Source organism: Homo sapiens, chromosome 12, assembly GCF_000001405.40.
Source record: "Homo sapiens chromosome 12, GRCh38.p14 Primary Assembly".
NCBI classification, from domain to species: domain Eukaryota; kingdom Metazoa; phylum Chordata; class Mammalia; order Primates; family Hominidae; genus Homo; species Homo sapiens.
In genome coordinates this window covers 64,971,597-64,997,335 of record NC_000012.12, presented here as the reverse complement: position 1 = coordinate 64,997,335, position 25,739 = coordinate 64,971,597, and the positions used below count along the sequence as shown (strand labels likewise).

Sequence of the window (25,739 nt, the reverse complement as noted above, 5' to 3'; positions counted from 1 at the left end):
TCAGAAGAGAAATGCTTACATATTCCTTTGAAATAAGACAGGTTTCTGTGAAAGACAAGGAGGCTGCAGATCTACGTTTCAGAGTCAACGTAAGATTGAAGTATTCAGCTGTTTCTTAAACAATTATTTACTGAACTCAAACTCTAAGCATCAAAGATACAGCAACAAACAAGAGAGACTTGGAATCTTCAAGGAATTTGCTAACAAAATACTATATACTAAAGGTAATTTTAAGAAACAGTAGCATAAAAATGATTTATCTAGATCTGTACTGTCCAGTATAATAATGACTAGCCATGTCTGGCTATTTAAATTTAAATGAAATAAAATTTATATTTATTTCCTGTGTTGGCAGTGGCCACTTTTTAAGTGTTCAATAGTTTTCTATTGGACAATGCTGGCAAAACCTTAACTACATTAAGGTATGATATATTTCACATGGGGTAATATTTAATACTTCTATAACACTCACTGATTTCCAGACAGTTTTCTAAATGCTTTATGTATATTAATGCCTCCAAACTTCACAGCATTCTTCTGAGGCAGGCACATTATTCCCATTTTGCAGATGAGAAGGCTAAGGCACAGAGTGGTTAAATAACTTGACCAAGGACACACAGCTAGTAGATTACTTCTTCAGTTATAGCTTTCTGTTATAGCTCCTGGTCTACAAAGAGCCTTGGCTGTACTGCAGTATCTGAAAGGTCACCTTCTCAGTGGTGCCCTAACAAGACTGTCCATTGGCTTCTGTCCTGTAGCTCTCTCTGGTATGGCCCTCATATTAGTCCTTTGAGACCTGGTTCTTCTACTTTCCAATAGCTAGTGCTCACCACTCCTGTAACCTTTTGATCTTTTTTTTTTCTTTTAGGTTAACAAGAATTGGTTTCTGTTACTTATGACCAAAAAATCTTGGCTGATAAACCTTCATCAATTCAAAACTTGTTCAGATCTCTCCATAGCTTACAGGAGTCCCAAAGCCACACTTTGAATTTAAGGTTTCCCATAATGAGCTACAATCCAATTTCCCATCCTTTTCTCCCAAATGCTCTCCTACACAAACCCAGGCCATTCCTTCCAAGAACCTTAAGAGTCTGGACCTCTCACCTATCCAGTTTACCTAGTGCCTGGTAACATGCTTTATGCTTTCCACATATACCTTTCATGTTTTCTCAGATTATTCCAAACCTGTCAACTCTTTTACCTCAGCTCAAATTTCAAGACCTTGGGAAAAGCTTTCCAATAACAATCTGCCTCAACCAATCTCTCTGTTCTCCAAATTCCTGTAGCCACATGATAGGGGTATGATTCATTTGGCTGATAATCATATTTCTTCTTGCAACATTCCTGTTGAGCTTTAAAACCTACTGAAGCCTGCTATCTCCAGCGTATCTGATTTAATTTATTTGGACAGTGGCCTAGACATCAGAATTTTCTAAAGCTCCCCATGTGATTCTAATAGGCAACCAAGGTTGAGAACCAACAGTATAAACTGAAAACTCACTGAAGGCAGGGACTAGTTGTTATTTGTCTTTGAGAGTTGAAGAGGAAAGTATTCCAGTCAAATAAAATAAGATGGCTCATGCCTGTAATCCCAGCACTTTGGGAGGCTGAGGAGCACAGATCATCTGAGGTCAGGAGTTCAAGACCAGCCTGGCCAACATGGTGAAACCCCATCTCTACTAAAAATACAAAAATTAGCCAGGTGTGGTGGCACATGCCTGTAATCCCAGCTACTCAGAGACTGAGAGGCAGGAGAATCGCTCAAACCCAGGAGGTGGAGGTAGCAGTGAGCCAAGATTGTGCCACTGCACTCCAGCCTAGGTGACAGAGCAAGGCTCCATCTCAGAAAAAAAAAAAAAAAAAAAAGACGTGAAAAGACCCTAGGGTCAGATGGAGTGTGGAGAGTTCCAAGAATTGAAAGATCACCAACAAAGCTGGAGCTCGGAAGCTGATGGAGAGATTTCAGATGAAACTAGAATTAGGAACATGAAACATTTTTAGAACTACACTGCAGCTTGAGACTCTTCCTATCCAATCTTCCTTCCTTCCTTCCCTCTCTCCCTCACAGGGGTCCGACCAGCATCTCTGAGTAAAGTCTTCCCTCATCTCCTTCAGCTCCCTCTCCTCCCTCCCCACCAAATTCCTTGCATATCTAATCCTGTCTTGGCATATGCTTCTCACAAGAAGACATAATCAGGTTGCCATTTTGGAAAGATCACTCTGCATGTTGTGTGAAAATGAACTGGAGGAGTGTCGGAGTAAATTTGGGAAGATTTAATAGAAGGTAATACCAATAAACCAGGAAAGACTTAGTGGTGACTTGTATTGGGGCGCGTCAGCCCAGGCTCACATTACGCACGAAAGATACTAGATTTAAAGAGGGATTTCAAGTTTCAGATCCCACCTGCCTCTTGCCTGAGATAGTGCTCCTCACATCCTACCAGAGTGTCTCAAGATCTAAAAGAAGCAGAAAGTATATCTGGAAGGTTTCCATACCTGCAGCTAAACCAAGTTGAGGAAAACAGGCATTGACACCATTGAATTTGGGATGGTTTCCTATAGCTAGTTTTTTTTTTTTAATCGACTTTTATTTTCAGTTCCAGGGCACATAGGCAGGATATGCAGGTTTGTTACATAGGTAAATGTGTGCCACAGCAATTCACTGCACAGATCATCCCATTGTAGCAGGATGAGCCGCAGACAAAACCCCTCAGACACCGAGTTAAAGAAGGAAGGGCTTTATTCAGCTGGGAGAATCGGTGGACTCACGTCTCAAAAACCGAGCTCCCTGAGTGAGCAATTCCTGTCCCTTTTAAGGGCTTACAACTCTAAGAGGGTCTGCATGAGAGGGTCGTGATCGATTGAGCAAGCAGGGAGTACGTGACTGGGGGCTGTATGCACCAGTAATCAGAAAGGAACAGAACAGGACAGGGATTTTCATGATGCTTTTCCATACAATGTCTGAAATCTATAGATAACACAAGCAGTTAGGTCAGGGGTTGATTTTTGACTACCAGGCCCAGGGCGCAGTGCTGGGCTGTCTGCCTGTGGATTCCATTTCTGCCTTTTAGTTTTTACTTCTTATTTCTTTGGAGGCAGAAACTGGGCATAAGACAATATGAGGGGTGGTTTTCTCCCTTACCATCACCCAGGTATTAAGCCCAATATGTATTAGCTATTCTTCTCAAGGCTTTCCCTCCCCACACACCCCTCCCCTGACAGGCCCCAGTGTATGTTGTTTCCCCCATGTGTCCATGTGTTCTCATTGTTCAGCTCCCACTTATAAATGACAACACATAGTATTTGGTTTTCTGTTCCTTTGTGAGTTTGCTGAGGATAGTGGCTTCCAGCTCCATCCATGTCCCTGCAAACAACATGATCTCATTCCTTTTATGCCTGCTTAGTATTCCATGGTGTATATGTACCCCATTTTCTTTATCCAGTCTATCATTGATGGGCATTTGGGTTGATTCCATGTCTTTGCTATTGTGAATAATGCTGCAATGAACATATGTGTGCATGTATCTCTATAATAGAATGATTTATATTCCTTTGGGTATATGCCCAGTAATGGGATTGCCTACAGCTAGTTTTAAAACCATCTACAATTCAGATCGTCTTCAAGGTTTTAGCAGCATGAGATTTTTCAGTGACAGAGATTATAGCATTGCAGTTGGACCACTGTAATCATAGAAGCATCAGCATTCCTACTGCTAACATGGTATTTCAAGAGCTATAAAACTTACAGCATGCTGCAATGTGGCATGCAAAGTTAGCCACAAAGTGTATACATTTCCTAAAAAGACTCAATCACTCCATTCTTAAAAAGCAAAAATGGAAATGTAAGTAAAACTTTGTTTAGAATTCATTTAATTTAAAAAGGGTAACCTCTATTACACAATCAGACTTGGTGAATGCAAACCTTCACATGAAGAAGCAAGGTTTTTCTATAGGTATTCCATCAGAGAACCACTTTAAAAAGTACGTTTGTTGGACTTCTAGAAAACCCAATTGCTTCTCAATTCAGCATTTCCCCTTGAGAGCATTAAAAAGAGCATTTTTATAGGCCCTTATTTTCTTTCTTGGGGGAAAAATATCATCACTATCCCTGATTCTTAAAGATAATAGAGGTACTGAGTTTAATTTCCAAAAAAAAGATGGGAAATGAAGGCAAAAATCCTGACACCCAATGTTCCATACTAATGCTATTGAGTTATTTCTTATTCCCATCAGAGAGTGGACTTTAGAATGAAAACTGAGCCTGCTGTTTTATTTTTCGTTTACATTCATGTGGTGGCAGCATCTTAACTGGTGCTGCTATAGCTGAATGAGAAGCAAATACATATCAAAGCTCACTTTCCTCATGGGTAGAAAGCTATTTGACTAACAGATTTCAGCGGTGCCTTGGTGACAAGAAAAGAAAAAACCCTCCAAGGATTCTGGAGGAAGTTGAAAGGCAGGAGGTCAGGCTTCCACCTGCAGGTAGAATGAGTGTTTGCCATTTCCTCAAATTCCTTGAGACCACCCACTGGCATGAAGGATGGTGAGCAAAGCCTGGGGAATGAAGACTATCTTTCAAAAGGTGCTTCCTGGGAGATTTAAGGGAGAAAAAGAAAATAATTTGTTGGTTTGTATGTCAGCTAGCAAGGCTTTTGATCATTCAGTTGGGACAGTTCTGCCTGGAAGGGATCAATCTCTTTTTATTCCAAAGACTAACACCAACAGATACAAATCAAAGGAGGTATTCTTTCAACAAAGGAAATTGCAGAAAGGATGCCTAGGCTTAATTAAAATATAACCTTTTGTTTTAAGGACTTTTCTTTCCCTTGCAAAAGGGAATGCACTCTCTGAAGAAGCATATGCCAGCACTGGTGAGATACAGTTCTTCAACAAGTAAGGATCTGTCTACATTCGGGGCACGTCTTGGGGAAGCCTTGAAGGGAATCGTGCCTGGAGTCCCATCTGACTTAACTCATCATCACAGTCCTTCATCACAACATAATGAGTGTTATTACTTCCTCATGTGGCCTGTGGGCTTTGTTAATTAAAGAATGGAAAGGTAAGTAGTTCCAACCTTTTGCTTTTAATTAATCAAAAGATGTGTTTTCCATCTTCGTGTTGCTGGGCAGCAAGTAAAGTATTTAGTCTGCCTTCCAATACCCAGAAGAGTTCCGTGAAAAAAACTCAGCTGCTGTTTTGGGACTGCATAGACTACATAGCAGATGACTGGCTTTATCTTTTCTTTCTAAAGTTTAATTAATTGTATTGGCCAGTCTGCTGCCTACAATGTAATAGTATTTAGAGAAAAAGAAAGTATTTTCTCATATCATCTCATCAGTACAAATAAAGCCTTCTTAAACCAAAAGTTTATATCTTAGAGTTTCTTGGGCATTTACCATAGTGCTAGGTAATTAGGAGACACTCAGCACAAGGAAAGAAGTGGAACTTACATTTATTGAGTGCCTGCTATGCCAAAACTGGTGCTCTTTTTGTTATATTGTCTTGCCTTTCCGCTCATTTGACTTATTAAAACTTCTATCATTAGGGTCATTCCTCCACATTAAAACACTCTCTGCATTTTAAATAGAAACATATACCTGGAGGGAAAACACATTAATCCATGAACAAGCATCATACCTTAGCGAAGACAGTACCTCAGGGAGTGAGCAGGGCACTAGTATATTTCCTTTTGGAGGGAAGTTAGAAAAAGCCCTAAAGCTGGGGTAGCAAATCGGTTTTCTCTAGTGTGCCAGCCCTGTACAATTAGTGTTGCTGCTCCCTGGAGCTCTGCTTTGAGAATCAGGCAGGAGGCAGAGTCTTAGCTCTGCAGGAAAGAGAATTGCAATTGCCTAATGATGTCAGACCTGCTGCATGCTTCAGTTGCTAAAAGGAAAACTTCAGACAAATTAAATTTAACAGGGTCTAATTGAACAAAGAACAATTCACGAATTGGGCAGCCCTCAAAACTAGAACAAGTTCAGAAAAACTTTGGCCTGCAATGTGGTCAGATAGCATTTATGAACAGAAGATGGAAGTGAGGTACAGAGCTCCATTGATTACAGCTGGTGTTTGCCTTATTCAGCATTTGCTTTATGTGAACATGGTGTTTTGAGTTGGCTGCCTGTGACTGACTGAAGCTCAGCTGCTGTGATTGGCTGTGACTCATTTGTGACAAAAGTATATGCCTAAGCCAGGTTTTCAGTTAGTGTGAGTACTAAGTTACATTGCATTTCATTAGTAAGGACTCAGGTATGGAGGCATTCTCAGGTCAAATTTAGTTTAACAATCCCCCCAAATTTAGTTTAACAATGCCACCTCTCAAAACCTGGGGCATTGATACCACTCTCTGTCACCATCATAAACAAACTTATTTGGTCTCAGCATGAAATTCACAAGTCATGACATCACACCAGTTGAATAATTCTTTATGTTCTTGATGATCAAGTCAAAGTGAGACCACTCAACACTCAGTGGATGGCTGCATACAAATATTTAAGACTTGAGAGGATATGGTACACCAGGGGAGCTACTATGATGACTATCAGAAGGACAACACCAAAAATTCCAAAAGCCTGAGGTGTACTCTCTAACAGGAGCCTCTGCCAACCAAATCAATTTGACCCAAATCAAAGTTCAGGCAATATAGGTGTAGCAGGACAAGATGCAGACAAAACCCCTCAGACACCGAGTTAAAGAAGGAAGCAGTTTATTCGGCCGGGAGCATTGGCAAGACTCCTGTCTCAAGAGCTGAGCTCCCTGAGTGAGCAATTCCTGCCCCTTTTAAGGGCTCACAACTCTAAGGGGGTCCACTTGAGAGGGTTGTGATCGATTGAGCAAGCCAGGGGTACATGACTGGGGGTTGCATGCACTGGTAATTAGATCGGAACAAAACAGGACAGGGATTTTCACAGTGCTTTCCTATACGATATCTGTAATCTATAGATAACATAACTGATTAGGTCAGGCATCGATCTTTAACTACCAGGCCCAGGGTGTGGCACCGGGCTGTCTGCTTGTGGATTTCGTTTCTGCCTTTTAGTTTTTACTTCTTCTTTATTTGGAGGCAGAAATTGGGCATAAGACAATATGAGGGGTGGTCTCCTCCCTTACAGGCAGCTCAAAAGCATTTGAGTACCGTTGGTCATGGTTTTTGTTCAGGAGGTGATAATGATTAAGAACTGCAGTTTGCTGATTTAAAGAGGTATCCAATGTTGTCATTATCTTGTTAACACAAGTCATAGTAATCTGGAGAACCATTAGAAGAGCATAAAGGTTAGAACACCTTGGAAAAGCCAAGCCTACCTGCAAACCAATGGTTTGCTGCTCCTATGAACATGTCATATGTTTCTTTCCTCTGAGAAATTTCCTTTATGTATTTGGTGGCAGTGTCTAAGGAAACAGGATCCAAAACTGCATGATGTTTTATTAAGTGTTTTCAAAAGATGACTTCTACTCACCTGAACCTCTGTGGGGACTGGTTGGTCAAACCCAAGATTTTTCTCATTTTATGGATTACTTTCAAATTCCATACTACCAGTACCCTGCTAGTACCAAGACTGAGCCCCCAGGAATGCCACTGGAATCTTTCCTCAGTAGAAACTAGCTTATCTTCATAAACCCAACAATTGCTCTGTTTTTTCACTACAGCATAAGACTTAGCTAAAGCCATCCACAGATTATGGCCCCATGGATTTTCCTATAAGTAAAAGAAAGGGACTGGGACAGCAGGAAATTGGGAAGAAAGGGAAAAGATAAGACTTTCATGATGGCAGAGAAGTCTTGATCCACAATCTTACGAAAGCTGTTGAAGTCTAGGATGCCAACTGCTCCTGGGGGAAATCTTCCCTGGTGAGCTTTACCTTAGAGTCTCCAATAGGTATACAGTTCCAGGAGTCTGGAGGAGCTCTTTTGAGTTGAGAGACATAGATCCAAGACTTGAGAGCCTGATGGTTTGCTGCAGAAAAGAACTTGATATGGTCTCTTCCAATGGAGCTTAATGGCAGTCTTTCTCTGATGTCCTTTCCAAAGACCCAATGTCTAGGTTCTACGTGGTGAAGAATTTGATTGTCCTCAGTCAGTGAATCATGAAAATCTTCCTTTACCTGCTGAAAATACACTTTGCTTTAAAAATTAAAACCTTGAAGCATTTAGTCATATCAGAGTTTAGGAGATGGAGAGGTCCTATTATTAGGGGCCTAGACCTTCCATTGACTATTTCATAAGGGATCAATGTATGTTTTCCACTGGGGGTGGATCTGATTGCCATCAAGGCCAATAGTAATACCTTTAGCTAAGGCAATCCAATCTATTTAGTTAACTTTCCCAATTTCAGTTTTAAGATGCCATTTTTCCTTTTAACCTTTCCAGAAGACCAAGGGTAATAGGGACAATGATAATGCCATTGTGTTCATAACACCTTATTTGCTTTATAACTTTTCTAGCAAAATGGGTACCTCTATTGCTGGAGATTTCTCCAGGAATATAAAGGAAACATGTTTCTGATCATCTTTTAGCTACTGTTATAATATTGGCCTTCCTGTATAGAAAGCTTCTATGTGACCAGAGAACATAGACCATTGCAAGAATATATTCATATCCCATGGAAGGTGACAAATGGATAAAATTCCTTTATAAATGTTCAAATGGCCCATCAGGTAGCAGAAATTTACCATCTGAATGTTTTTTTGTCTTCTTGGGATTATGGATTTGACAGACCAAACATTGGTTATAAACCATTTTAGCAATTTTTGAACAGTCGCCACACCAATAATTTTCCATAATTTGGATCATTTTGTCTACTCCATGATGAGTTATAGAGTGCAGAACTTTTAATAATGAAAGCTTTAAGGACTCAGGAAGGACCAGATGGCCATCCAAGCTCTCCAGTAGATTATGCTTAATATTGGATTTACATCCTCTTAAATACCAATTCTGTTTCTCCAATTCAGGTATACAGCACTGTTTATTAAATAGGTTATCAGGCTGGATGCGGTGGCTCAGGCCTGTAATCCCAGCACTTTGGGAGGCCGAGGCAGGCAGATCACTTGAGGCCAGGAGTTCAAGACCAGCCTGGCCAACATGATGAAACCCCATCTCTACTAAGAATACAAAATTAGCCAGGCATAGTGGCATGCGCCTATAACCCCAGCTACTCAGGAGGCTGAGGCAGGAGCATCACTTGAACCCAGGAGGTGGAGGTTGCAGTGAGCAAAGATCGGCGCCACTGTACTCTAGCCTTGGGCAACAGAGCGAGACTCCATCTCAAATAAATAAATAAATATTATCAGAGATGTAATTTGACTTGGATCAGTCTTACGTTGTTCATTTAAATTGCATATCATAACAATTTCAGTACTGGCTGATTTAGCATGAAAATCTGCCAAAGAATTTCCTTGGCATTTAATTAATTATTGTTCTGCTTGATGTTGGATTAGCAGTTTTATGAACCAGATTCTTCATTAGAGTTCTGGAAATTCTTACCTAGTTTAATGGTATAATCTTAAAGTTATCAGAAACTTGTTAGAGTCCTTTCTATGAATCTCCTTGAAGACAAAACAATTTAAGTGTACAGTTTCTTAGGAAGATACCAGAGTAAACAATTTTCCTTCTGTGAATGACAAAAACACATAATTTAAGTGGCCATTTTTAAAGATCTAATGAGAGTTAATTACAATGATTATGCAATTGACAAGGAAATTTGGTTATTGCTGCATACAACATTTTAAGATAACAACTAGAATTAAGACTGATAGTGTTACACCAGGACTATTAGATTTCTATGAATTTCATAGAATTTCTGAAGCACATATTAATAAAATAATCATACAAATATAACTCAATGGAGGTTTAGCATTATTTGACAATGCTTCCCATATAATTTAATACATAAAATAAGCCCAATTAGTTTAATATCTCTCTCTCTACAAGGAGAAGTTTCCAGATGGAAACTTCCAAAGGGTCCATGTAGAAATTCCCAAAATCACAGGAGAGGAGGCCAGAAGTCCATCATAGACTGACTTTGTCACAAACCACCATCTATTCTTCCAAGGGCCTATCCATTCTTTCCCAAAAACAAAGTTTGTGTCTTTTTGCTAGAATATTGAGTGGGTGGAGCCCATGGAAGTCTAGGGACAAGCATTTTGTATGCCTGGACTCAAATGGATACTTCTAATCTTGCCTTATTGTTAGAGACTGCTTTGTTATTTTCTTGTTTGTTTGTTTGTTTTCAAGATTGAATGACAAAGCAATCAGTTGTCTTGTTGTTGTTGTTGTTGTTGTTGTTTTCCAAGAAAGAGTTTTGGGGCATACCAAAGATCATGACAACAAGAAAGAGGTAGACAAAGTTGGCAGATCATATAGTCAGCAGGGGTTTGAGAAGAGGGGTTTTAATCAACGGAGAAGTTCCCAACGGAGAGAGAGGTTTCCATGAGATCAAATAGAAAAAAACAGAGACCAATAATTCTTACAAGTATTTTTCTGGAAATAGTCAATTAAATATGAGGATCTTTAAGACTTGATTTTAAATCCCTACCAAAGAAATATTCTATTTTTTTAATTTCTGAGAGATTAGTTGATTATTGTCTCAGGAGTGAAGCCTTTAGAGGCTTCCTCTAGTCGGGAATCAGTCCAAGCCAAAAGGAATGGGTCCGTCAGATGCCTGGTGTAAAAATTGATACTTTCTTTTCCAATGGTCTAGCAGTTTATAATAAAGGCAAATGTCTTAGGGCACAGGGTTCTTTCATCTGGGACTCCTTGGTTTTGGTTTAAAACATATACAAGGAGATCTTCTTGGTCCCTACAGCTGTTATAGCTACTATAAAGACATGTGCCTGTTCACCTTTTGTAAAGAGTCTTTTAGAGTGGCAATTTTGTATTCATTTAATCTTTTGGAAGGCTCTGAGTACCAGTTTAGAAAAAAAAGGATTCCTTTGTTTCTGAAGCATTTTGGATCCTCTTTTCTAATGCAGCTCACAAGTGAACAATTTTGTCTAGATTAAAACTTTCCCACTGTGGCCACTGTAACTCTAGGTTACCTTTGGTAAGGTTTATCCTTTTTTTTTTTTTTTAAGAAAAGTACAGTTCTGGGTCCAGAGTTCTTATATATTAAATTGGCTGGAGTTCCAGATGCAGGAGTTCTAGACTCCTTGGATCCAGAGGAACCTATGATTCTCTGTCTTATGGTAACCTCACCTACCTACTGAACCCAGTTCAGTTTCTTTCTGACCCAGTCAGACACCTGAGGCCTCCCTACAGAAACCAGTCCTATTTCTGTCATGACTTCCAAGCCCAGTCCAAATTTTAAAATGTCCAAATAAACTCAGAAAGTTCAAAATACAAGTTTGTGGAACTTGAAATCTGAAAGAGAATTCAATCACAATCTCAGTTGCTACAAGAGATCAATGGGCATAGTTGGGCCTGGTGGGTACCTTCATTTGGTCACTTGGTCCTCCTGGGAGTCACTAAGGTTCTACCTCAGATCCCATTTCTGACACCAGTCTGTTAAAAGAAAAACTTCAGGCAAAAAAAAAAAAAAGCCCAAAACTTACAAGATTATCTCTGCAAGAGAATCTGTCTGTGAGGGTGGGGAAGAAGACCACACAGCCTCTACTACTATTCACTCTTCTGCCAGATTTATTTTCCCTTAGGTATGTCTCACACTGTGTGTCCAGTAAGGAGTCAGGCCACGTTCCTGCCCACTGAATACTCTGGCTCCACAGCCCATAACACAGCTGTAGCAGGCTGCTTTGTATAAAGAACATGTCTCTAAGAAGAGCTAGGTGATAATAAGTGTATAGAGTAGAGGCTTTTTCAACCCTTTGTGTCATGGGACCCTTTGGTGCTTGGGTGAAGCTTATGAAATGCCTTGTCAGAATAATGTTTTTAAATGTGTAAAATAAAAGATTCCAAAGGCATAGGCAAGTTAAAGTTAAATTTTATTTTTTAAAGACAGCAGTGTAAATGAAGACTGTTGGTCTTCATTTGAATATGAACTTAAAACTTTGGGATGGTCCTTATCTTACCTCTTTCCATATAGCAATAAACAAACCTTCACATACCGATAAAAGAATACTAGAGAGCAACATAGATGTCTAGGTTGACCTCAGTGTTTGGTGCTCAAATAACCGCTAGGCAGAGAGCTGCCCAACTGTTGACCAACTATATCATTGAGTATCTGCAGACAGGTAGACCTTGATCGGTGGCAGTCTAACTGCAGGTTTAATAACAATCCCAATATCAATGTTGTGATTAGCAAAAATAATATTTTGAGACATCTGAAACAACTATAATGTGATATCACTATATCTTTGATTTCTATTGGCAGAAAAGCCATTGATACTGCCTAAACTTCCATAGTATGTTCTTGTGGAAAACTCAATTAGTATCCCCAGTTTTTCACTGCTTCTTGATTCACACTTTTTAGATTTTGTAAAGACTTTATCTTATTTTATATATTTATATTTTTTGAGACAGGGTCTCACTATTGCCCAGGCTAGAGTACAGTGGCATGATGACAGTTCACTGCAGCCTCAGCCTCCTGTGCTCAAGCAATCCTCCCACCTCAGCCTCCTGAGTAGCTAGGATTACAGGTGTGTGCCACTACGCTCAGCTAATTTTTTTTTTCTTTTTTTGTATAGACAGGGTTTAGCCATGTTTCCCAGACTGGTCTTGAACTCCTGGGCTCAAGCAATTCACCCTCCTTGGCCTCCCAAAATACTGGGATTATAGGTGTGAGCCACCATGCTGGGCCAGGAAACCTTATTTTTTTAGAGCAGTTTTGGGTTCACAGAAACTCAAAAGGAAGATATTCCATATACTCCATGCCCCTACATGTGTTTAGTTTCCCCCATTATCAACATCCCCCACCAGAGAGGTACATTTGTTACAATCAAAGCACCTACACTGACACATCGTAATCACCCAAGTTCATTGTTTACATTAGGGTTCACCCTTGCTGTTGTATGTTCTCTGGGTTTGAACTAACGTATAACAATATATATAGCATTATAGCATCACACAGAGTATTTTCACTGCCCTAACAACCCTTGGGCTCTGCCTGTTTATCTTTCCCCCACAACCTTCACTCCACTGGCAACCACTGATTCGTTTACTGTCTCCATAGTTTTGCCTTTGTATTCATACTTTTTACTTAGTGACTTGGTAATTCCTTCTGCAAATGTAGAATGTATTCCTCCAACCCCAGGCTTTGGACTCAGCCATGTAACTTGCTTTGGCCAAATAAATATGGTCAGAAGTGATCACATGCCAGTTCTGAGCCTAGGACTTAAGAGGCCTCATGTTTTTTCACGGCTCTTAATGTATTTTCCTTTACCATGGGAAAAGCATGCCCAGACTAGCCCACTGGTCTAAGGAGGATGAAAGATACTTGGCACAGAACTGCCTAGCCAACCTACAAAACTGCAGTAAAAGACAGAATCAACCAGCTGAGGCCACTCTAGATTAAACAGTTCCTCAATGCATGAGGAAGCCTACCTGAGATCTGAAGACCTATTCCAGCCAACCTATACATAGATGCATAAGAAAGAAGGACGGGCATGGTGGTACCTGTAATCCCAGCTACTCAGGAGGCTGAGGCAGGAGAATCGCTTGAACCCACAAGGCAGAGGTTGCAGTGAGCAGAGATTGCACCCCTGCACTCCAGCCTGGGTGACAGTGAGGCAAAGAAGGAAAAAGAAAGAAAGAAAGAAAGAGAGAAAGAGAGAAAGAGAGAAAGAAAGAAAGAGAGAAAGAAAGAAAGAAAGAGAGAAAGAGAGAGAAGAGAGAAAGAAAGAAAGAAAGAAAGAAAGAAAGAAAGAAAGAAAGAAAGAAAGAAAGGAAGGAAGGAAGGAAGGAAGGTTTGTTTTTGTATGCAACTAAGATGTTTGTGATTATTTTCTATGCAGGAACAGCTAATACACTATATTTATAACTTAAGGAAATACTAAATTTCAGTTAGATCCTTTGCAATCTACTGCAGTGTTTTCCCTCTCAAGTTCGTAAACCCTTCTAAAGCAGAGACAGTTCAGCCACTGCTTAACTGCTCAGGCTCTGGACTAACTCTTCTAAAATGTTGTCCCATTTATCCACTGTGTCTTCCATAAAGAAGACATCAAAAAATTAAATTATCCATTGTCTAAACACAAAAACCAGAGATACTCTGGTGACATAGTAGGAATCTTCTCACCTTGGTGGACCACCTAGGCAGTTCTGTGAGCAGAAGTAGATGCAGAAGTACCTCATTTGGTGGAGACATAGAGTAAGAGAAGCTTGTTTGCAGAAGCTATAAAACCAAGAAGGAAGAAATAACAGGATAACAGCAACAACAACAAAAACTAATTAAATCCCTGTTGCTGATACGTTAGTAGGTTTAAGTATGTTACAAAATATTCTTTAAATTATTGTATATGTTTTTAAATGTTTGTTAGATACAAAAGTTAAATGAATTCAGCATTAAACAAAATACGGTATTATTGTGACTATTGCTATCCAGATTAAAAACAAAAACAAAAGCAAAACCAAAAACCTGAGCATTAAGAATCTGTCACTATGTCTTTTATCCAAATAAGTTATAATTAAATTTCTAGATAATATTGACATGGTAGAATTGGGATGGAGGAAAGCAGGAAGAGAGTTTTATGATTCTAAGAGTATGTAGAATTCTTACCTTGATTAGGGGAAGATATAGATGTCTATTTTCTTAAGTAAAAAGCATATTTTAAAAAACACAAAAATTGGAACAAAGTGAAATAATAACCAAAGCAATAAAAACAGATATATCAGTAATTACAATAAGTATACATGGATTAAATTTCCAGTTCAAAGATGGAAATCGTCAGAGGCTTCCAAGATGGCTGAATAGGAACAGCTCCAGTCCGCAGCTCCCAGCAAGATTGATGCAGAAGGCGGATGATTTCTGCATTTCCAACTAAGGTAACTTGTTCATCTCATTGGGACTGGTTGGACAGTGGGTGCAGCCCACAGAGGGTGAGCTGAAGCAGGGCAGGGCATCACACCTCACCCAGGAAGCACAAGGGGTCAGGGGATTTCCCTTTCCTAGCCAAGGGAAGCCATGACAGACTGTACCTGGAGGAATGGTACACTCCTGCCAAAATACTGCATTGGTCCCATAGTCTTAGCAACCAGCAGACCAGGGGATTCCCTCCCACACCTGGCTCAGTGGGTCCCATGCCCACAGAGCCTTGCTCACTGCCAGCGAAGCAGTCTGAGATCGACCTGCAAAGCTGCAGCCTGGCAGGGAGAGGGGTGTCCACCATTGCTGAGGCTTGAGTAGGTAAACAAAGCTGCCAGGAAGCTCAAACTGGGTGGAGACCACCGCAGCTCAGCAAGGCCCACTGCCTCTCTAGACTCCACCTCTGGGGGCAGGAGCAGAACAAAGGGCAGCAGACAACTTCTGCAGACTTAAACGTCCCTGTGTGACAGCTCTGAAGAGAGCAGTGGTTATCCCAGCACAGCATTTGAGCTCTGAGAGCAGACAGACTGCCTCTTCAAGTAGGTCCCTGACCCCCGTGTAGCCTGACTAAGAGATACCTCTCAGTAGGGGCCAACAGACACCTCATACAGGCCCCTCTGGAACAAAGCTTCCAGAGGAAGGATCAGGCAGCAATATTTGCTGTTCTGCAGCCTCTGCTGATGACACCCAGGCAAACAGGGTCTGGAGTAGACGTCCAGCAACTCCAACAGACCTGCAGCTGAGGGACCTGAGGGTTAGAAGGAAAAAAAGCAGGGGTTGCGGTCCTAGTCTCTGATAAAACAGACTTTACACCAACAAAGATTAAAAGAGATAAAGAAGGCCATAACATAATGGTAAGGGGATTCAACAAGAAGAGCTAATTATCCTAAATATAGATGCACCTAATACAGGAGCACCCAGATTCATAAAGCAAGTCCTTAGGGACCTACAAAGAGACTTAGATTCCCACACAATAAAAATGGGAGACTTTAACACCCCACTGTCAATATTAGACAGATCAACGAGACAGAAGGATAACAAGGATATCCAGGACTTGAACTCAGCTCTGCACCAAGTGGACTTAATAGACACCTATAGAAATCTCCACCCAAAATCAACAGAACATACATCTTTCTTAGCACCACATCATACTTATTCTAAAATTGACCACATAATTGGAAGTAAAGCACTCCTCAGCAAATGTAAAAGAACAGAAATCACAACAAACTGTCTCTCAGACCACAGTGCAATGAAATTAAAACTCAGGATTAAGAAACTCACTCAAAACCACACAACTACATGGAAACTGAAAAACCTGATCCTGAATGACTACTGGGTAAATAACAAAATGAAGGCAGAAATAAAGATGTTCTTTGAAACCAATGAGAACAAAGACACAACATAACAGAATCTCTGGGACACATTTAAAGCAGTATATACAGGGAAATTTATAGCACTAAATGCCCACAGGAGAAAGCAGGAAAGATCTAAAATCGACACCCTAACATCACAATTACAAGAACGAGAGAAGCAAGAGCAAACAAATTCAAAAGCTAGCAGAAGGCAAGAAATAACTAAGATCAGAGTAGAACTGAAGGAGATAGAGACCAAAAAAAAACCCTTCAAAAAAATCAATGAATCCAGGAGCTGCTTTTTGGAAAAGATCGACAAAATAGATAGACAGCTAGTAAGACTAATAAAGAAGAAAAGAGAGAAGAATCAAATAGACACAATAAGAAATGACAAAGGGGATATCACCACCGATCCCACAGAAATACAAACTACCATCAGAGAATACTATAAACACCTCTAGGCAAATAAACTAGAAAATCTAGAAGAAATGGATAAATTCCTGGACACATACACCCTTCCAAGACTAAACCAGGAAGAAGTTCAATCTCTGAATAGACTAATAACAGGTCCTGAAATTGGGGCAATAAGTAATAGCCTACCAACCAAAAAAAGTCCAGGACCAGACGGAATCACAGCCAAATTCTACCAGAAGTACAAAGAGCAGCTGGTACCATTCCTTCTGAAATGATTCCAATCAACAGAAAAAGAGGGAATCCTCCCTAACTCATTTTATGAGGCCAGCATCATCCTGATACCAAAGCCTGGCATAGACACAACAAAAAAAGAGAATTTTAGACCAATATCCCTGATGAACATCAATGAAAAAATCCTCAGTAAAATACTGGCAAACTGAATCGAGCAGCACATCAAAAAGTTTATCCACCATGATAAAGTCAGCTTCATCCCTGGGATGCAAGGCTGGTTCAACACATGCAAATCAATAAACATAATCCATCACATAAACAGAACCAATGACAAAAACCACATGATTATCTCAATAGATGCAGAAAAGTCCTTTGACAAAATTCAACACCCCTTTATGCTAAAAACTCTTAATAAACTAGGTACTGATGGAACATATCTCAAAATAATAAGAGCTATTTACGACAAACCCACAGCCGATATCATACTGAATGGGCAAAAACTGGAAGCATTCCCTTTGAAAACTGGCCCAAGACAAAGATGCCCTCTCTCAGCACTCCTATTCAACATAGTGTTGGAAGTTTTGGCCAGGGCAATCAGGTAAGAGAAGGAAATAAATGGTATTCAATTAGGAAAAGAGGAAGTCAAATTGTCCCTGTTTGCAGATGACATGATTGTATATTTAGAAAACCCCATCATCTTAGCCCAAAATCTCCATAAGCTGATAAGCAACTTCAGCAAAGTCTCAGGATACAAAATCAATGTGCAAAAATCACAAGCATTCCTCTACACCAATAATAGAGAGCCAAATCATGAGTGAACTCCCATTCACAACTGCTACAAAGAGAATAAAATACCTAGGAAACCAACTTACAAGGGATATGAAGGACCTCTTCAAGGATAACTACAAACCACTGCTCAATGACATAAAAGAGGACACAAACAAATGAAAGAACATGCCATGCTCATGGATGGGAAGAATATTGTGAAAATGGTCATATTGCCCAAGGTAATTTATAGATTCAATGCCATCCCCATCAAGCTACCAATGACTTTCTTCATAGAATTGGAAAAAACGACTTTAAAGTTCATATGGAACCAAAAAAGAGCCCACATAGCCAAGACAATCCTAAGCCAAAAGAACAAAATTGGAGGCGTCACACTACCTGACTTAAAACTATACTACAAGGCTACAGTAACCAAAACAGCATGGTACTGGTACTAAAACAGATATATAGACAAATGAAACAGAACAGAGGCCTCAGAAATAACACCACACATCTACAACCATCTGATCTTTGACAAACCTGACAAAAACAAGCAATGAGGAAAGGATTCCCTATTTAATAAATGGTGCTAGGAAAACTGGCTAGCCATATGTAGAAAGCTGAAACTGGATTCCTTCCTTACACCTCATACAAAAATTAATTCAAGATGGATTAAGGACTTAAATGTAAGACCTAAAACCATAAAAACCTTAGAAAAAAACCTAGGCACTATCATTCAGGACATAGGCATGGGCAAAGACTTCATGACTAAAACACCAAAAGCAATGGCAACAAAAGCCAAAATAGACAAATGAGATCTAACTAAAGAGCTTCTGCACAGCAAAAGAAACTACCATCAGAGTGAACAGGCAACCTACAGAATAGGAGAAAATTTTTGCAATCTACCTATCTGACAAAGGGCTAATATCCAGAATCTACAAAGAACTTAAACAAATTTACAAGAAAAAACAAACAACCCTATCGAAAAGTGGGCAAAGGATATGAACAGACACTTCTCGAAAGAAGACATTTATGCAGTCAACAGACACATGAAAAAATGCTCATCATCACTGGTCTTCAGAGAAATGCAAATCAAAACCACAATGAAATACCATCTCACACCAGTTAGAATGGCGATCATTAAAACATCAGGAAACAAAAGATGGTGGAGAGGATGTGGAGAAATAGGAATGCTTTACATGGTTGGTGGGAGTGTAAATTAGTTCAACCATTGTGGAAGACAGTGTGGCAATTCCTCAAGTATCTAGAACCAGAAATACCATTTGACCCAGCAATCCCATTACTGAGTATATACCCAAAGGATTATAAATCATGCTACTATAAAGACACATGCACATGTGTGTTTATTGCGGCACTATTCACAACAGCAAAGACTTGGAACTAACCCAAATGTCCATCAATGATAGACTGGATTAAGAAAATGTGGCAGATATACACCATGGAACACTATGCAGCCATAAAAAAGGATGAGTTCATGTCCTTTGCAGGGACATGGATGAAGCTGGAAACCATCATTCTCAGCAAACTATCACAAGGACAGAAAACCAAACACCACATGTTCTCACTCACAGGTGGGAGTTGAACAATGAAAACACATGGACACAGGGCTGGAAATGTCACACACCAGGGCCTGTCCAGGGGAGGGGGAATGGGGGAGGGATAGCATTAGGAGAAATACCTAATGTAAATGACGAATTGATGGGTGCAGCAAGCCAACATGGCACATGTATACCCATGTAACAAACCTGCACGTTGTGCACATGTACCCTAGAACTTAAAGTATAATTTTAAAAACCCAACAAATAAAAAAATTTTTTAAAAAGTCAAATAGAGAAAGACAAATGCTGTATAATCTCACATATATGTGGAACCAGAAAAAGTCAAACTTATAGAAACAAAATATAATGTTGATTAGCAGGGGCTAGGAAGTCAGGGAAATGGGGAGACATTGGTCAAAGGGAACACAGACTATAATTAACAATACTGTGTTGTATATTTGATATTTCCTAAGAGAGCAGATATTAAATGTTCTCACCGCAAAAAAAATGATAACAAGGTGAAGTAATAGATATGTTAACTGACTTTATTTTGGTCTTTTCACAATATATACATACATCAAATCATCACATTGTACACCTTAAATTCATACCATTTTATTTGTCAACTATATCTCAATAGAGCTGAAACAAAAATAAATCCCAAGACAGTAATGTACATGTTATTTAAATAGTTTTAGAGTCTTTGTCTCATTTAATTTTTAAAAAATGATGGAAATTGTCATTTTGGAGTGTGTCTGTATGTGCTGTTTAAAAGAGACATATCTTGCCTGTATATTAGAAGGCACAACCTGTTCTCTCCACTCCTCATTATGCATGCAAATGCAGGCAAGTTTCTTAACCTTTCTGTACATCAGTTTTCTCATACAATGGAAAATGGTATGTCAGTTAGAATGACTTTGCTACACATAGTAAAGCGTCTCCCACAGAAAGATTAAACAATGAGAATGTTTATACTCTTGCACAAAAATTCAGTGACAGGTGGTACTTCAGTGTATCTGCTTTGTCCTCACGCTGGCTCCTCTTCTGACCCCACGGTTACTCCTTTTCAGGCATCCTGTGCAGGTACAACCATGAACAGCAGCAGAAGGCCTGTCTCTTTCCAGGGTATTTGTTAAAGAATAAAGAAACCTTTCTCAGAAACTTCTCAGCAACCTTCTCATCACCTTTCATTGGCTAGAATCTTATCTGTTGTTATGTCCAAGAATTTCCTTTCAAGGGCAATTGCAAAACAATGACCTTTCAGAATTACCCCTATTGCTGAAGGATGGAGACATGGAGACATAAGTTTTGTATGGGAAGTAAACACTAAAAAAAAAAAAGCGCCATCAGCAAGAAAAAAATGAAGAAAAATAGCTGTTATATGTTATATAGGCACCCAACAATGTCTGTTACAAATGAGGATAGTATAATCATACATTTCCCACAGAGTTGATGTAAGCACAATATGTGAAAGTTCCTAAAAAAATATCTGGCCCAAAGAAGACATTTCATGAATATTATTCTTACTTCCACTTTTCCTTTCTTTGTCTCTTTTCCTCTAATTTCAGTCTGCCTTCTTTCTCTCTCCTCCATTTATTGGCTTAAAGGATTGAAACCACAGTATGTTAACCAGCAGCCTGGGAAAAGTCCCATGGTGCTCACCTCCACCCCTGTGCTGACAAACTGTAGGTTACCCTCAAAAACCACAAGGCTAATGTCCAACTGCCTTCAGGGCACTCCCTGAAGCTTGGAGAACATTTAAATAGCATAGAAGATCTAATTAGCAGCAGCCTAGTCCTCATGAGCATTCTTTACACCACCATCCAATTACCCATCCTGTGCAGTCAATTTGGGTGCAGGTTTTGGTAACAGAAGCTTTTCCATATTTAGTCATCATGATAATTTATGCTTAAATATTTTGTAGGTTTGTTGTATGATTAAAGTGACTACAAACACAGATAGTTCAGTTTCAAATGAAAGCCCTGTAATTCATATGCACACACATAGTTTTGTGGAAAGGCATGGTTAATATTGTACATATAGTCATTTAAAATGCTAAGTGTATCAAATGACAGCAAAGTAAAGAATCTTCTTATTTCCCTTTTCCTGGTGGCTTTCTGTAAACTGACTTCATAGGTTTTGGAGGTTGGTTTTGTTAAAATAATAATAACAAATAATAGTTAACACTTATTGAAAGCTCACCAGAAGCCAAACACTTTTCTGTGTGCTTTACATTTACTAACTAATATAATTTAATTTAAATATATTTACTTAACTGGAATGAAGAAACTGAGACACCAAGATTAAGTAACTTACTCAGGATCAAGCAATCTTACTCCTAAGCCTACTCTCTTAACTATGTTGTAATGAAAACCCTACTGTTTAAGAAAGCTGGAGTAGGTTTGCTAATATTTGCAACATAAAATGGACTAAATGATGGTCTGAAAAAGGGTTACCCAGTCTCCCTTTTCCTCCTCTGCTCCTTACACCTGGAAAATATTTAGTATCCACCACCCCATCATAGGCTCCTCTGTCTATCCTTCTCTTGCCCCTAGTTCAATTTGTCATGTTAAAAAAAAATTGAGATACACACACACCAAGTACTGTCCCACTCTGTAGCATCTATCCTGGAGAGAACAAAGCCTTTGAGGTGACCACTAGGGAAGCTATGTTACAGGAGATTTACATCTCAAGGACAGCTAGAAAGGCACATTCACCCTACTTTTCCCAACCAGAAATGAGCTGATTTAATATTTGGCCATACTAATTTTGTGAAGATAGATGCATAGTATGGGATGAAGAGATCCTAGACTCTATTCCCACCTCCACCATCACTCCAATGTCCCAACATTACTTCTGCCATTTTTTCCAACCTAGAATGTTTTCCTGCCTTCTCTCCATTCATGCCCTTCCTTTACTTTCAAATTACTTATTTTTTTATTATGGCACAGTATTTAATTTCTCCAGGAAAATTGAAAAGATGAACCTAAATATTGTATTGCATTAAGGAATAGGGAAGAAGCAGAACTTCAAGAGCCCCTGTGAGGTTCATATCACCCTGCTCACTGATGTCTACAATTACAGGCAATCTCAAGTAACAAAATCATGTGCTACCATATTACCCAACTCTAGTCCCCCAGCCCTATGTTATCACATCTTGCTTCACTCACTTACCTAAAGCAAGCAATGTTCTAAACAGTTCTGGGTAGCAACCAATTTTTTTAAAGTAGTCATCTCAATAAAATGTAAAAGAATTGCCTGTTACATACTTAAAAGACACTACTGAACTCTTGGATGTAGGTGAATAGGTTTGTAGTTGCTAATTAGAACTAAGTTGCTCTGCAGAAGAAAGGCTGGTTGAGGGGCTAGGAGAGGGTGTTGTAGATTCCAGCACAAGGAAAACAAGAACAAAAAAATTAGATGATGCCCAGAGGAAGAGCAGAGATGCATTCCATTTTGACTTCAGGATTGGAGAGCTGAAAAAGAGGAATAATAGTGGAATGAGCCATGCAATGCTAATTGCCCTTATCCCTTACAAAATATTCAGTAAAATGAATATTGCTGGCTATAGTAGTTTTTTTTGAGACAGAGTCTCACTCTGTCGCCCAGGCTGGAGTTCACGGCACAATCTCGGCTCACTGCAACCTCTGCCTTCGGAGTTCAAGCAATTCTCCTGCCTCAGCCTCCTGAGTAGCTGGGATTACAGGCACACACCACCACGCCTGGCTAATTTTTGTATTTTTAGTAGAAACAGGGCTTCACCATGTTGGTCAGGCTGGTCTCAAACTCCTGACCTCGTGATCCACCCACCTCAGCCTCCCAAAGTGCTCATAGGTGTGAGCCACTGGACCCGGTCTTATTGTCTGGATAGTAAGAAATATTCTTTAAGATGACTGCAAAGAATTGTTGATACCTGCTTTCAAGCCAAAACAGGGTGAAAACAGAGATACTTCTCAGGAACAGATGACTTATTATTACATGTATTATAATAAAAATAATACTTTAATCTCCTTGAGATCTCTTTGAAGATCTGTCTTTAATTCCTTACTTGGCTTTCATTTCCTTCTACCTCCACTGCACCTTTATTCTCTTTTTTATTTTTAAATATTTCATTGATGAATACAAATTATATATTATTCAAGTTGTACATCATGGTTTGATATACATAGTGTTCTGATTACCAGTTACATTAACTGACACATCCATTAGTTACCATTTGTGTGTGTGTGTGTGTGTGTGTGTGTGTGTGGTGACATTAAAATCTGCACTCAGTAAACAATATAATATTATCACACTTAAAGGCTATTTATTTGTAACACCTGTCCCCCAAAAACATGCATGCATGCACACCCACACAAAATGTGATCCTGAGCTTCTTGAGGACAAGAACACTTATTAATTTGATTGTTCCCAGTCCCCAGCATTTCACCTAGAACAGAATAGATACTCAATGTATGTTTACTCAAAAATATAAAAAAAAAAACCAGAACTTAAATAACTTTATACAAAGGACTTCCACAACCAGATAGAGAAAAATAAACTTTTATCTTATTAAAGCTGATGTGGTTTTGCTGTGTCCCCACCCAAATCTCACCTTGAATTGTAATAATTCCCACCTGTCAAGGGTGGAGATAATTGAATCATGGGGGTGATTACCCCCATACTGTTCTTGTAGTAGTGAATATGTCTCACAAGACATGATGGTTTTATAAATGGGAGTTCCCCTGCACAAGCCCTCTCCTGCCTGCTGCCGTGTAAGACATGACTTTGCTCTTCTTTTGCCTTTTGTCGTGATTGTGAGGCCTCCTAACTATGCTGAATTGTGAGTCCATTAAACCTCTTTCATTTATAAATTATACAGTCTCAGGTATGTCTTTAGTAGCAGCATGAGAACAGACTAATAAAAAGCTATTCTATTTTAGAGTTTCTCAGTTATAGCAGCTTAGTCTTTACTAAGAGTAGAATATCACAGTCCATCAGAAAACTATTTTTTACTGAGGCCAGACATCTTGAGGTCTAAAACATTCAGATTTATGCTGCTGGGGAGAGAGTAAAGAAACCATGGTAGAGGTATCCAGAGCAGTAGGTGCCTCATCACTGACATGGCTTAGCCACTCATTCTTGCTGTGAGTATTCTTCAGTCAACACTGCCAGTTTCCTGGGGTCTCTGAAAAGTGCATCCTCAGTCATTTCAACTCAAAGAAGTTTGGATGCCTCCTGTGTTAGATGTGGCTGGAACTACATCAAACAACAGTGATAAAGAATGTTTCAGAAGGATATAGTCTAACCAGCTCTTAGTATTTCTGAGGAAGGACAGGAAAAAAGGAAAGGTTATTCCAGCCATTATTGTGATTGCTCACAGATTTTCCATTTACTATACAAATTTTAATGTGAGCCTATTATATAAAATCAAATTAAAGCAGGAAACACATAATCTGAACAATTCTTTGTCAGCTCCAGAAAGGGCTTATACAAGAATACTAACTAACCTGCACAATGTGCACATGTACCCTAAAACTTAGAGTATAATAAAAAAAAAAAGAAAAAAAAAAGAAAGAAGTAAACAGAGTGTTAGTTGTTATTTAAAAATTACCAGAAAACCAGGTGTAATAAGACCCTGAAAAGCTTTTGATGACACCTTGACATGGCTTGGCAGCCCTTCTTCTCAAGTCCCAGAGGAACAAAGTGATTTTGTGTAAAAAGATTAGAAAAGATTAGTCAGAGGCAACAGCAATATAGGGTGTTTTGTAAACACCACGTATCATTCTAATTCAAAGGAACACAGATAGGAAAGGTAGGATAGGATTTACAAGGTCATCTTCCATTGAATTCAGAGTTTTTCTAGAAGACTATGAAAAGTTCTGCTGCTTTAAGATGGAAACTGATAACTGAGGGAGGAGACTTATGAAAACAATATTGATAATAATAACAATTTCTAATGCTTATAAATTTGTGTAATGTTGGCATTATTTCTTCCTTAAATGTTTGTGAGAATTCACCAGGGAAACCATTTGACCCTGTAATAGTTTGTGGGAGGGTTTTACAATTTCTAATATAATTTCCTCAACAGATACAAGGCTATTCAAACTTTCTATTTCTTGTCAGATTTGTTCATTTGTGTTTCTCAAGGAGTTTGTTCAAAGTCATTGAATTTATTGGTGTAACACTGATGGCAATATTCCCTTTTCTTGCTTTAATGTCTGTAGCATCTCTAGCAATTCCTCTCTTTCACTTTTTTTTGTTTGTTTTTGTTTTTGTTTGAGATGGAGTCTCGCTCTGTTGCCCAGGCTGGAGTGCAGTGGTGCTATCTTGGCTCACTGCAGCTTCCACCTCCTGGGTTCAAGCGATTCTCCTGCCTCAGCCTCCTGTGTAGCTGGGATTACAGGTGCCTGCCACCACGCCCGGCTAATTTTTTGTATTTTTAGTAGAGACCAGGTTTCACCATGTCGC

The 25,739-nt window shown here is 39.3% G+C and overlaps 3 long non-coding RNA genes across 3 annotated transcripts in view, besides 1 other annotated feature; 1 reads left to right on the top strand and 2 right to left on the bottom strand.

Moving 5' to 3' along the window:
• Positions 4,182-4,708: an enhancer, noted in NCBI's record as "OCT4-NANOG hESC enhancer chr12:65386408-65386934 (GRCh37/hg19 assembly coordinates)". NCBI's record gives its function as "activates a minimal SCP1, AML or CMV promoter by ChIP-STARR-seq in naive H9 embryonic stem cells {active_cell/tissue: H9 hESC(naive)}" and the evidence as "EXISTENCE:reporter gene assay evidence [ECO:0000049][PMID:30033119]".
• Positions 5,045-25,739, top strand: part of LINC02231 (long intergenic non-protein coding RNA 2231) — a 71,447-nt gene continuing 50,752 nt past the window's right edge. The window contains exons 1-2 of the long non-coding RNA NR_146276.1: positions 5,045-5,059; positions 14,814-14,928. This is a non-coding gene — a long non-coding RNA (long intergenic non-protein coding RNA 2231). The remainder of the gene's footprint in view (positions 5,060-14,813; positions 14,929-25,739) is intronic.
• Positions 6,690-9,635, bottom strand: LOC107984522 (uncharacterized). The gene is made up of 2 exons (XR_001749177.2): positions 9,481-9,635; positions 6,690-8,105 (listed from the first exon to the last, which is right to left on the bottom strand). It is a non-coding gene; the product is annotated as an uncharacterized LOC107984522 (long non-coding RNA).
• LINC02389 (long intergenic non-protein coding RNA 2389) overlaps positions 19,814-25,739 on the bottom strand; it is a 93,749-nt gene continuing 87,823 nt past the window's right edge. Inside the window, exon 3 of the long non-coding RNA NR_033988.1 lies at positions 19,814-22,765. This is a non-coding gene — a long non-coding RNA (long intergenic non-protein coding RNA 2389). The remainder of the gene's footprint in view (positions 22,766-25,739) is intronic.